This window comes from Homo sapiens, chromosome 3 (genome assembly GCF_000001405.40).
Source record: "Homo sapiens chromosome 3, GRCh38.p14 Primary Assembly".
NCBI lineage: Eukaryota > Metazoa > Chordata > Mammalia > Primates > Hominidae > Homo > Homo sapiens.
In genome coordinates this window covers 143,524,483-143,538,447 of record NC_000003.12, presented here as the reverse complement: position 1 = coordinate 143,538,447, position 13,965 = coordinate 143,524,483, and the positions used below count along the sequence as shown (strand labels likewise).

Genomic DNA, 13,965 nt, shown 5'->3' with positions numbered 1-13,965 from the left:
TCCATTATTACGACACTGCCTGTATTCATTTCTGGCATAACTTAATAATTTGCAGTATCCCCTAGGGAAAACACTACTATTCTTCCCCTTTGTACTGATTTATTGTTTGGGTTTTGGCTTGCTCTTATAGTACCAAGTTGAGGTCTATAGGGGTCTTTTGCTTCATCCAAGCATACTAGAGACTAAAAGAGTTTGAGACAATCTAACCTTCCAGGGAAAAAATATAGTCTGATTTAAGGGAACATTTTCTTCCTCATTTGACCCTGCCAAATGTTTCATGTAATTTCTGGGCTGTTTGTAGGACTTGGATATACTGGCCTGTAGAATAAGGCAACATCACTCTTTAAGGATATTCCCTATGTTCTAGGCAGAAAACACTTTATTATAGGTTCCAGAATGTTCATGGACCTAAGGCCTAGGCAACCCAAAAGAAGGAATTTGGATTTCATCCATAATTGGGATTTAGACATGTAGTGATATATGTGTGAAAAGAAGCTAATGAAAGAAGTCAGACACAGGAAAAGATAACTAAACCTTTAAGAGGAAAATTCCTATAAATGGAAAGGAGTTTGATGTAGCCTGAGGGCCAGCATCCTGTTGTGGGACACTGTGAGAATGAAGCTGGCCCTCCCAACCCACCTGCCTGCTGGTATGCTTGCACTCTGAGAAAGGGAGGCACTAAATGGTAAAGTTTCGGGGGGAGTAAATTGTTTCCCTGGGAACACAAGTGACCCTGCTGGAGCCCACCCCATCCCCGGAATGCTGAGATGTAAACTTGAAAGAATTTGAGTGGATGCTCAACTCTAAGGGACCATCTCTGAAAGAACTGAACACATAAAAATGAAGTACCTTCCTGCTAATTGAAGAGAAATAAGTAGCCAAGACAGACAGTCAAAGATGGAGCTTAAGCTGCCAGAGGCAGAAAACATAGCAGATACTCTAAGGAGTGAGGCAGTCCTGAAATTGCAGGTGGCAGGTGGCAGCAGAGTGGGCAGCAGTGGGGAGGGAGCACAGGCTGCAGTTGGAACCCAGCAAGGGCAGGTTGGTGCAGGCAGCTGAGGGATGGGCAGCTCCAGGCTCTGACAACACATGCCACCCAGCTCCCTCCTCTTGGAAACTCCCAGAGCAGTAATGCTCAATCCTGGGTGCATGTTAGAATTTTTTACAAGTCCCAGATACCCGGGCTCCATGCCCAGGATTTCTAATTTATTTAGTCTGGAGTGGGACCTCAGCTGCAGTATTTTAAACTCTACCTAAGTGATTCTAAAGAGTGGCCAGAGTTGAGCATCTAGAAAGACACCAGATGCTGGACACCAGATGCTGAGGTCCTGTCATTTTGCAGGTGTGGTTTTGGATTCAGCAGATCAGAGCCAAACTGTCCAAGTGAGTTCAAGGGGAAACCACATGCTGATAGGCTTGGGACTTGGGACTCTAGAGAGTTTAAAAAATCTTGCTGGCCAGTGGCTCCCCCAGAGATTCTGATGCAATTGGCAGGAGGTGCAGCGTGGGCAGCAGGATTGTTTCCAGCTTCCCAGATGGTTCTAATATGCAGCAGCGCTTGAGAACCAGTGACCTAGGGCACAGTAATGTCACTCATGAAGATCCCTTTGGGGAGTCCTGTAAATATTTAAGAGAAAAGAAAACTCTGCAAGGGATTTTATATTCTGTGTGAGTAGGTGGAGACTTAGAACTATCAAGATTTGGCTATTTGTATAAGTACATTTATATTCACAGGCAGGGTGTTTCTAAGACATTACCCAAATAAGTATTCCCACAGTTCTCAGATATGGGAAGGCAGTCCCACAGTCAAAACCAAAAAGAACAATTGTCAAGCTCCCTTCTACAGTGACTTGCTTGCCTGCCTGAAGCTCACAAATGGAGGTTTCACTTTAAGATGCACAGATTCATTGTAGTAATCGCAGCATGTAAAACTGTTAGGCTACATTAAAAAATGGGAATCTACTTTCACTTCTTTGATTTTAAACTTAGTAAAATACAAATTTGGTTAATATTTATGGACTAATAGGTGCCAGTTAGTGAAAATTAGTACCTTTGACCCTCACAATAACCAGCGGGCTATTATTGGCAACTATTTTACTGAGGAGGAAGCTGGGATGGAGAGAGAATAAGTAATTTACATGGGTCTACACAAGTAAACATGGGTGGGAAAATGGGACTGGAACTGATTCCAAGTCCAGTTCTTTACCCACCTCACCCAGCTGCTTTTCTTTCATCTCTATTGAGTCAAAAGTAACCTCCAGCTTACCTCTCACTTTCCAGTTTCAGTTTCATATAGTAATTTACATATGATGCATTTCATGAAACACATCTGGAAAGTTACTAGGTATAGAATCTATAGGAACCTTTGCTATCTATTCTATTATGCCATAGATAATTCTAGAAAACAGTAAAATTTCTTCACTTTTTCCCCACCTACAATTATTTGGCGCCCCAATGAGTAGTATCTTCTCAGTGTCAATTCTCTGGAGGTTTAAGAGACTGTAATGAAATCTCATCAGCTGTGTTTCTAATTAGCATTCTCTACCATGTGTGAATTAGGAGAAAACTCATCTTGTCTATTTCTTAGAAACTATGGCTAAGGTACACTTTGATAATGTTCAGGACTGTGTATGGGTGGAACATTTTATATATAATGGAGTAAATATGTAAAGAAGAATCAAATGTGTATTTAAAGTTATAATCTATGTGAAAATATTATTATATATATTTGGGTTACGAATTGTAGAATCTTTAACATTCTCAAGAGCATTCATCTTAGAATACCTTATTCTACTACCAAATCCCTTCCCCAGTGAAAAGCACCTTTGTATCTTAAGTCGAAAGTACTGTAAAATCTCTTATCACCATAAGGAACATATTAAACTCGTTGGTAATAGATAAAGAAAATCCTATTTCCAAAAGTGCATTTTGCTGCTTAATATTAAGCAAGTTACACAATGTTTTCCAAAGTTAAACAAACAAAAAATAAAGAAAGTAAATTTACTGATAATGTTCAACTGGACATTAAAATATACTGCTCTGATATCGTTGTCAGAAAGCAAAAAGATATGACCTGACTCGTTTTTAGCTTTTAACATGTATCTTTCTGTTCAGAAACATTATATACTAGTGGATTTTGTGATATAGAAAATATTCCAACTTTCATGAAAGAACTCTAAAGTGTTTTAACCTGTCTTTAAGACTTGCTCCAGTCTGTCTATTCTTCAGTAGCTTAATTTTACTTCGACTTGAATATGCCTTCTCAGTGCTTTTAAGTTATTCTTTCCTGAATGTTTTCTTTAGTCAAGGATTATGATTTAAGTGGTAACATATAGGAATTAGGTACCAGATCTCCTTTTAAAAGAAGAATGGTTTAATTTCTGTTGTCCACCCAAACATGTATATGATTCATGTGATCAAAGTTACTTTTTCTATCACTTTTTTTAAGGCCTCAACCTTGGAATTCTATTTGGGAGAAAAAAATGCTTGATTTTAAATTGCATCAAAAGCTTCAGCTTATGCCACAGAGTACAAAAAAGTGACTGTTTTTAAGGTTTTTTCTAAAGCAAAATGTTAGGTGTATAGTTTCCCAATGACTTCAGTAAGTGTTGCAATTTAAAGAAAATCTCAAGCCAAACTGAATGTATTTATCCAAATACATCTTTTTGATCCCGCTATTCAGCATCCCAACTTGTTGACCAGAGTTTCCAGACATCAAGCCTAGCACCCACTTGGGTCATTAAGAAATTATTAAATCTGCCCTGTTGGTCAGCACATGGGGCGCAGGTAGGTGCCAGGACCCCAGCTCTGCCCTTCTGACACTTCCTGGGAGTAAACCCAAACCTTGTGTATCAAAATGCCCTGAAGCTTAACATCAGCCAGTGGTCTGCCTGCTAAAAAAAAATCCCACCATCTGTATCCAAGCAGCATCATTGCCTGACCCTGGAGAGTAGCAGTTCCAGAGCTCTGGGTGAGGCATCTAATGCAGTGAGCTCCAGGAGAGAGCAATTAGCACAGGAATGAATGTCAGACTTCTGGGCAGCCATTTTGAGGAAACCAGTATAAAATATTCACATTGTACAGGCCATCAAACTTCATGGTCACACTTTTTTAACTTTGACCTAGGTGAACAGAGAATTGATTTGATTTGTAGCTTTGCTGGGTAGAAGTTACACATTATTTAAAATCATTTTAGAATTTATTTTCAAATTTCAAAAAGCACCAAAGCATCCTTTTTTATATTCCTTTGACTTCCAGATTTGCCTGATTCATGAAACATTATTATCTTTTAATTAATATAATTACTATAAACTGGTCTTGAGTTTCAAAGTATCATCTAATAACTGGATTAATTTTCAATGTATAAAATGTGGGCTTTCTTCCCATAAACAGTTTTTAAGTGAAATATGGGCAAGGTGATTATTATACCCACTTTTTACCATATGAAATCTTTAATAAAAGCATTTGCCATAGCTTTGTAAATTATTCCAACTTGCAAGATATGACTCAATTTATTCATGGATGCTTATGTTAGAAACTGCATTATATTTTAGACAACAGGTTAGGTGGACTAAACCTAGAAATGTATTGCATTGTAGGAGATATCTACATTATTATTTTCTGAAAAATGTGCATAGAGCTTTTCATAAATGTTCCCCTCATTAACAAAGAAATGCCATTTCACTTTAACTACAAAGACCTTTCCCTGACAGAGGCATTTGCAACAATGGCCTATTTAAATTCTTTCTCTCTCTTTCTCAGACACATTTTTAAAAATACCCTTACCTCCAAATGATTCTGATATATGATATCTAAAGATGTAGGGTTTTTTTATGGTTATGCATCAGTAACACAACAAAGGTCAGCTTTGCTGTGTTTCACATATGGTATGCTCATGTGTCTGACTACTTCATCTGTGTGGCCTCACTTATTGCATTTTTCCAAATTTTTGTGTCTTCATCTTTTTTGGAGCCTCTTCTGCTTTGGATCTATGACTTCTGGAATTATTAATACCTGGCCTAATGCCTACCAGAAGTCAAAGGATACAAATATTGAATTATCCTGTGTGTCTTGAGGTCAGTCTTCATAGAACCTCAGCATCTGGGAATTAAGGCAAGTAGGAGGACAAGCACTAGATGTGGAAGACCTGGGTTCTCAGCCTGGGTCTGCTCGTGTATTTGTGGTATGTCCTGGAGCAAGGCCCCCAGGTCGCTGTGAGCCAGGGCATGTCAGCCCCACGAGAGCAGGGACTTGGTCTGGTTTGTTCACAGCTATATTGCAGTGTCTAGAAATGTGCCCAGCACATGTAGGTCATCACTTTTTATTTGTGGGTGAATAAATGAGTTGCAATGTTCTCTGTACAGGCCTGGGCCCACATGGGCAGTTAGTGAAAACCTCCATGGGCCCTGCTCCCCTTGGGGCCCACACAACACAGGATTAAGTTCTCTGAGGGGAGTAACAGGGTTCTCTGGGGCTATATAACAAAGGACCCCAATAGAGAAGTCCTTGAGAAGAGACTCTTCAGCTGAGACCTAAAGAATAATTAGGTGTGAACAGGCAAAAGGCGTTGGCAAGAATGAGAGCATTGCAGGCAGAGGCCTCATCACAGGGGAGATCCTGGGTCACTTGAGGGACTGAAGGGCCCTAGCATCCCTAAAGTGATTATCTAAGTGAGATATGTACCAGAATGAGTGGAAATATCATTAAATCATAGAGTTATAGGGCTGGAAGAAATCCCATTACTCAAACTAGCCCATGTCGGCTACATTTTACCGTTTGAAAACTGAGGACCAGAGGTCTCTGAGCAAGTTCTGAACCTTAAAATGAGGGTTTTTTTCCTTTTTATATTCGAGTTTCATGATTTTTATAAAAATTCGTGGTACAAAAGCTTGTAAAGTAAAATTTAAGTTTCCCCACTCAAGAAGTAACTGCTGTATTAGAGACTGGTGTATATCTTTTTAGAAGTATATATCCATTGATATTTTTAAACAAAAAAAGTGATTATACTATAATTGGTAGTTGTCAAGCTTTTTGATAACAGGACCTCTTTACACTTCTAGAAACTATTGAGGCCCCAAAGAGTTTTTGTTTGTATGAATTATATCCAGTAGTGTGCTGGAGCCAGCTGGAACCAGCTCTCTACACCAGGTTCAGTGGTAGCTTGAAATCTGCCATCGTGGGAATATTTACATCATGGAATCAGCTTGCACTACAAATCAGGGCTCTCCCTGTCCCCCCAGAGAGCCAGTTGTTAAACATCTAGCAGCATACCACTGATTACATGTATCAATGTTTATCATATTAGACACTTAAAATGAGGATTTTAGAAATATTTAGTAATTTATTTTAAAATAATGATAAATCCATTGCATGTTAACATAAATCACACTTTCTATTTTTGCAAATTTCTTTTATTTCTGGTTTAATGGAAGGCAGCTGGATTATCAGATTTGCTTCTGCATTCAATCAGTTGTGATTATCACGCATTATGTAGCCTCTGGAAACCTCCATTGTATCCTCAGGATAGAATGAGAATGAACAAATCAAAGGATGTCTTAGTAACAGTCTGAAAATCATGTTAACTTCATGAGCTACCTGTAAGAGTCTCAGGGAGTCTCAGAGGTCAATAAGTCATACTTTGAGAACCGTCCCTACACGTAAGTTTATTTCTGTTTACTTTTTACCTTATTGTTTTGTTTTTAGCTTTTTAAACTTACTATGTCATAGGCCATGATATTGTTCTCTTTCATTAAAATGAGATTCATACATGTTAAATAACAATTACCTAGATTATTTGGTCTTATTTTTCCTAATGTTTCTCTTAATTTACACCCACATATTGTATTATACAACAAGAAAGAGGAAATGAGAAGGAACTCAGTGAAGATTTGTGTAGACTGCCTTCTTCCTAAAGGTTTTTAAGACAAACTTCCTATACATTATGTCTTATTTGATTTAGTGCTGCTTCCAGCAGGAAGATGTACTCTGTGATGGCTCATGGTTTTAGCTTCTTCTCTCCCTCATGTGAATCTCTGTCTCCAAAGACATGAAAAGATGCCCTACCACTGTTCTGAGATGAACTCAAATAAATAAAATTCAGCTCTATTCACCAGGGTCTCTAGAGGCTTATAAATGAAGATCAGGATAAAGGAAATTTGGGGATGTGGTTTGCTTTCCTTGCCAGGGGAGCATTTGAAATCTCAAGAGCTAAGTAAGGCCAAAATGCTCAAGCGGAGGCATGAGTTGATGTATCAGATTCACTCATAAATGGGGATAATGATAGCTTCTATTTCATGGCACCAGAATCTATAAAAGTACTCACCAAATAGCTGTTGTTGAATGAATAGTGTTGTAAAGATTAAATTAGTTTTCATGCATTAGTTTTTACAAAATGTTTGTGGCTCATAATGAGCACTATATGCATGTTAGGTTTTGTTTCAGTTATTTTGTTGTGTTTTTTCTGAGTGCTGGAATTAGGACTCATAATTATATCTCGCAGTTCAAGCTTCTTATCTATAATGGGATTATTTTATTCTATGAACTAAAACATAAAATGCTAAAAGGAGGTAAGTTGACAGAGGCAAATCCTGAATCACATTATGGCAATTTTTCAATGAATTCAGTTAGAGTAGCCACCAATATGACACTGGTTAAATCAGAAACTCCCATCTTGACAGAACAGTGAGAAGCCAGATCCAACCCTTATCAGTTGTCTGATTTTGTCTCCTTTTTCTTCATGTTGCAAAAACTATTTGAATAGTGTTTTTGGTTTTTGTTTGTTTGTTTGTTTGTTTTGTTTTGTTTTGTTTTTCAGATTTCTGATGGACTTGAGATAATGCATGCACACTTTTCCATTTGGTCAAGGTTTTTCCTTACTAACTGTATTAGTCTGTTTTCACGCTGCTGATAAAGACATACCCAACACTGGGTAATTTATAATAAAGGAAAAGAGGTTTAATGGACTCACAGCTCTGCGTGGCTAGGGAGGCCTCACAATCATGGCAGAAGGCAAAAGGCAAGTCTTACACTGTGGCAAGCAGGAGAGAGAATGATAGCCAAGCGAAAGGGGTTTCCCTTTATAAAACCATCAGTTCTCGTGAGACTTATTCACTACCAGGAGAACAGTATGGGGGAAACAGCCCCCATGATTCAATTATCTCTCACCGGGTCCCCCCCACAATATGTGGGAATCATGGGAGCTTCAATACAAGATGAGATTTGTGTGGGGACACAGCCAAACTCTCTCACTAACTTAGTAATTATCACTTGAATATTTTATTAGGCATGATAATTCATTTGCTTATAGCCACTTGTTAGCCACAGCCCTCTAAACTCAAAGCCAGGTATCCCTTCCCTTCCCTCAGTACAGTGCATGCTACAACGTCAATAGCTTCAACAAGCCAAACCTAAAACTGGATGGTAGGCTGCTTTCCCAGGGTTCTAATAACAGGTGGTGCACGGGTTAGACTCCAGGCAAGCACAACCCCAGTTTCCTCATTCTCATTCTTCCGTCCTAGAGTCATAGGAGTGGCTTCTGTTCTGCTCATCTGAAATTCAGAAACAAAATAGGGCACTCCTTTGATAGACTTTTTATTTGCTAAATTTACTGGAAATACAGCATCAGATACAGTGTCCAATCTTCCTAGTCTTCCATTTTTCAATTCTTCTCTTTTCGGTGTACATATCAATGACTTTATAAAATATGAATAAGTACTATATACATTTATATAAATGTAAAACATTTAACAAAATACTCGGTATCTAACTCTCTCCCTAGAAGCCAGTAATCATTGATGGGTTACTGAGTCCTTGGAATTGAAAACTATGACTTCTATTCTCTTCCCTTTGTTACAGTTCTTCTCAAGTTTTCTTGAGTAAAAATCCCTGCTCTCATGTGTTCAATTCACCTGGTATATAAAACCATCCAACAAAACAGTGTTGAATCCTTCCAAAATCCACTGGCAAATACTTTCATGGGATGACATTCCCTAAACAAAACTTCATAATGCCCTTGTTTTATCCACACCCCTAGAGAGGATTACATATCAAAGAATTAAAAATGTTTTAATAGAACTCAGGCCAAAATGCTTCAGATGAATTAAGAAATCCTCTGGGTCTCTTCCAAAAGCCAAAGTGAACTTGGACTTTTTCTCTCTCCAGTGTTTTTATAAAAACGTTTTAAAAGTTGAATTTGTGTTTTCTTAGCTATCTCAGTATTGCGGTTCTGATCATAAGATGTTGACTTCCTCCCAGAGGGGCATTTCCCACTCTGAAATTAGCTGCTGCATTTTTTGCTTGAGAGGCTTGACTGCGTCTCTACCCTCAAGCACCTTAGCTCACCCCGCTGTTGTTGGCACAGGGTAACTCACCCTCCTCATCTGCAGCTCTGTCTCCTCCCACATGGCACCGGCACTGTCCCTCTCATCTGTAAGATACACACATTCTCCTTTAGACTTATTTCCTTCTGTTTAGAGTTAATGCTCTTGATGGCTTCACATTTCCACTATTTCATATTGTTGGTCCTCTTAACTTATAAGTCATGAAGATCAATCAAAGTAAAGATAATAAACTCCTGACCTATCAGATAGTCTGATGCCTGGCACACAGTAAGTACTTAAGACATATTTGTCACACTTTTTTTTTTTTACTTTTGAGCTAGAAGGACAAAAATACCCAGGCATGAGTTAATGTATAGAAGGTGGCTTATTCTCCTTTGCCTTCTTCTAGGACTTTTTACTTGATCAGACCATATGAAATTGCTGCTATTTGATAGTTTAGACCTTATAGAAAAGGTAATTTTGTGTGATTCAGCTGTTTTCATGGTGCTAAGCAGCTTGATGTTCTGTTTGCAAAGAGTTCCCACCCTCACAGAGTTGTTCATAGGGTTATAGGGTGACCAACTACTACCGGGATAGAGGACTTTCAGTGCTAAAACGGGAAAAGATCACAGCAAACTTAGATTTGTTGATCACCCACTTATCACACTGCAGTCAAATTCTGCTTTCTGTACTTTCTTATTTCCTAAATGTGTAAAGGAAAAAATTTCCAAACTCATCATAATACTAGGTAAGATTTATTGAGGGCCTATCATGTACAGACAACTGAGTTAATTGGTTTAATCTTTCCAATAATGCTGAATTCTTCTAATAATTCTTAATTCCAACAATAATTCTTACCTCCATTTTGCTGGCCGCTAAAAGGAGGCACAGAAAAGCAAAGTAACCTGACTGAGGTCACAGAGCCTATAATGGTGGAGCAAAAAGCTGAACACAGGAATCTGAGCCCAAAATAAGTCTAAAAGAGGGATATCCAGTTTTCTCTACATTGAGTAACTGTCATTCCTGCAAAGCCTGCCTATGGAAGTGGTTCCTGGAGGAAAAGACATGGAAATGATTTTCTCCATTTCTCTCTGGCTTTCAGTGTTCTTCCTTCTCCTCCAACTCCTACTCTCCAAAGATCTACTTTCAGTTACAGCCAATTAGCCTTGGCTGTATCACGATCCAGCCTAGCCTGGTGACAATGCCTCTCACCTTGTTCCAAGTGCACACTACCCAGTTCTTGACATCAAGTGCCATGCTCTGTCCTACTAATCCTGCCCCTTACCTCTACCTGGACCACTGCTTCCTGCAAAGCAGTCTTCTCTGTGGTCCTCATAGCCCTTTGGTTGTGCCCCACTGCTGAGGCACTGAGGGAAGAAGGGTTAAACATTGGGAGGGATGTGGACCTATTGCTAAGTCTTGAAGAGTCTTGAGTCTTGAATGTGGTGCTAAGCAGTTTGGCTTTCCTTCGGTAGACAGGAAGGAACCAACCAAGATTTACAAGCAATGGCATGAGCACATCTGTGTTTTAGAAAGATAAAATATAAGATGGACTGAAGCAGGGAATCTATAGGAATATCTTCATTGTATGAGACCTGACAAATTTTGACACAATGCCACTAAGCACATACTATGTGGCACAAAGACAACTAGTCAAGTAAGTGAAAAAACAAACTCAACCTAATGAAGTTCCTTCAACCTTGTGCTACTGTTATCTAATTTTTACTCTCCTGAACCATTAGAAAATTCTAATAATAAAAAACACAAGTTGTCAAGTTTTGTCACGTGTCAATAAAACACTTTAACCATATTAGAGGTACTGTGCTTCAATATGACTGATGTGTTCAGTTAAAATGCTGAAGTTTATGAATCTTACCGTAAAGCTTGAAGAAGAACAGTGGAGATACATTACATGCTATCTGTGAAAAATGGTAAAAATAAAAAGCTAAAATGAAAATATTGAATCTTTGAGAGAGAAATGCAGGCACCGAAATGTGCTATCATCTCATCACTATTCTCTATAGGCTTGTGGATTAGACAAGTCGTATATGTCTAAAACTGCATAGAGGGTGTTTCAGAACTAGAGATGTAAAAAACTTACTTTAAAATAAGAATAGAGCTCTCCAGTAAACCTAATCATTCTCACAGGGCAGATCGGCTTTAAACGAATGTCACACTTATCTATATATAGTCCACAGTTCCCCAGGGGTGCCCAAGCCCCTTACCCCACAAGAAGCTTGATATATATTTCAACACACAGAATAACATATACTTTGCCCTAAGACTTCCTTTTATGCTTGCTAACTTCAGGATCCTCACAATGGCTGCAAACTCCTAATATTTCAAAGACTGTCTACATTAATATCTTTCAAAGCCTCAAACCCTGGCAAGGAACAAAAATTGTTTTTGAATCGGCTTCAAGAATTAATATTAGAGAATAGGAGGTTTTTCCTCTCAGCAAATTGAAGTTGAATAAATTGTTCTCTGTCTCCTTAAAATGGAATTGGTTGCTCGAGGTGAGCTCTGCTGTGAGGAGGCAGGATGCAGCAGCACTGTGAAGGATGATGGCAGGGACAATTTGGGGGACAGGAGGGGGCCTTTCTTCTCTTAAATTAGGGGCAGGTCTGTTTCTTTAAACCTGGCATAGATGCTAAAATGTAGGAAGTAAGTATATTAGCTTGGAGTTGCATTAAAAATAGCTGGAATTGCTGGGCTATTACCACCTCTTTTCTTGTGTTACCAAATGCCCACAGAGCAGCCTGCCCCTAAGCATTCCTGGGCAGCCATTCATGTCCTCATGGCTGTGACACACATGAATTGAAACTTCCATGTGCAGAGACGCAGATGGCTCCCTTCTTTGGAAGGAGAAAACAAACCCTCCAGACTTCCTTTTGGTGCTTCTAGGCATCTGCTTTGCCCACTATCTTCCCCAAACAAGAAGATGTGACTGTGGTTTGAGGGTTTAGCTTCCCCTGTGGATTTAAAAGACCTAGACATCACAGCCACTGGCCAAAAGCTTTCAATGATGGCTTTGATTTAGTTATATCTTTCTGTTTATAAAAATGACTTTACTGCATAGTATATTCATAGATGTAAAACAGAGTAATAAGACTCAAGGACAATTCTGTTGCCTAAAGGCAACCACTGTAACTGCTAATATTTTGACATTTTTTTCCTTCCAGTCTTTTGTAGCTATTTCATTTATCAAGAATAAACTGTATATGTACAATTTTGTATCCTGCACTGTCTGCTTGACAGTTATAACTAAGAATTTCCCCATTAATTTTAATTTCTCTTTTTTCTTTTGTCATTATTGGTCAAATAAATGTAACTAGATATCATTTACTTTTCTTCTCTCACAGCCTGTGGATTTTGATTATTTCATTCTTTCCTGTTTACGCATACATTTAAATCAGATTCCACAAAAACTCACTGACATTATCTAAGTGAAGGGGCATGTTTGAAAGGGACAACATGTTCCTTGGTACTCACAGACTCAGAAATATGCTGCAAGGTTGTGATGACATTTGAATGCTATTTCCAGAGTAAATGATGAAATACTTCCCCAGGAGACACATGGAGCGAAGGGCAGCTTGTGGGATGATTGGGAAGATGAGACTCATATGCTACCTCCACTTTCTAGAGAAAGTATCAGTCACTAGGCTGACAGAGCCAGATTAGAGTCTACACTTGCCACTTAGTTGCTGTGTGATCTTGAATATGTCACTTAACTTTCCTAAGCCACAGAGGCTTCATCTACAAAATGGATCAGATAGAATCTACCTCACACAGGGATATCATTTGGCATATAATCAATGCTTACAGAAGCTTTGTCCTCACTGTTCACAATGAGGTCTTTTCATAGTTGATCTGTATTAATTTAAATGATAATTTATTTTAAAAAGAGAAATAACATTTAACATAAGTCTAAAAAAGATAAGAACTAGTTCTTAAATTAACTTCATCCTCCTTTGGTTAGCATTTTTTACATAGGTAACCCATATTTTGCCTAGGCTCGCTATTTCTTTTGACATCTATATAGCATTCAATATGTTTTGTTCATTGTCTTAGTCTATTTTTCATTGCAATAACAGAATACTTGAGACTGAATAATTTATAAGGGAAAGACTTTTTTAGCTCATGATTCTAGAGGCTGGGAGGGCCAAGATCAGGCAGTCATCTTTGGCTAGCTTCTGATGTGGGCTTCATGCTATGGCATCGTAACATGGCAGAAAAGCAGAAGGAGAAATAGACATGTACAAAGAAGCAAAACAGGAGAGGCAGGCTCACTTTATTACAACGTATTCTCATGAGAACTAACCCAATCTTGAAAAATAGACATTAATCCATTTTAATCACTTCGTAAAGTCACTACCTTTCAACACTGTCTCACTGGGAACCAAGTCTCAACATAAGTTTTAGTGGGGACAAACCATATTCAAATCATAGCTTCATCTTGATAGAGATGTATACTCTTAAGAAATCTAACTAAACAAATTAGTCATAATGATAGGGGCTCTGGAAAGTCTGAATGATTTAGTGTAGATTAAATTATAGGGCCTTATTTCAAAAAAATATGCATAAGCTGATTTTAGTACTGTCAAACATTTTCAAAATGGCCATTGACCTATAAAAAAGAAAATGTAGT

The 13,965-nt window shown here is 38.4% G+C and overlaps 1 protein-coding gene across 4 annotated transcripts in view, besides 1 other annotated feature; it reads left to right on the top strand.

The window, feature by feature from the left end:
• SLC9A9 (solute carrier family 9 member A9) overlaps window positions 1-13,965 on the top strand; it is a 583,247-nt gene that overhangs the window by 310,021 nt on the left and 259,261 nt on the right. The window lies entirely within an intron of this gene.
• Window positions 2,268-2,317: an enhancer, noted in NCBI's record as "active region_20655". NCBI's record gives its function as "activates an Ori minimal core promoter by ATAC-STARR-seq in GM12878 lymphoblastoid cells {active_cell/tissue: GM12878}" and the evidence as "EXISTENCE:reporter gene assay evidence [ECO:0000049][PMID:35858748]".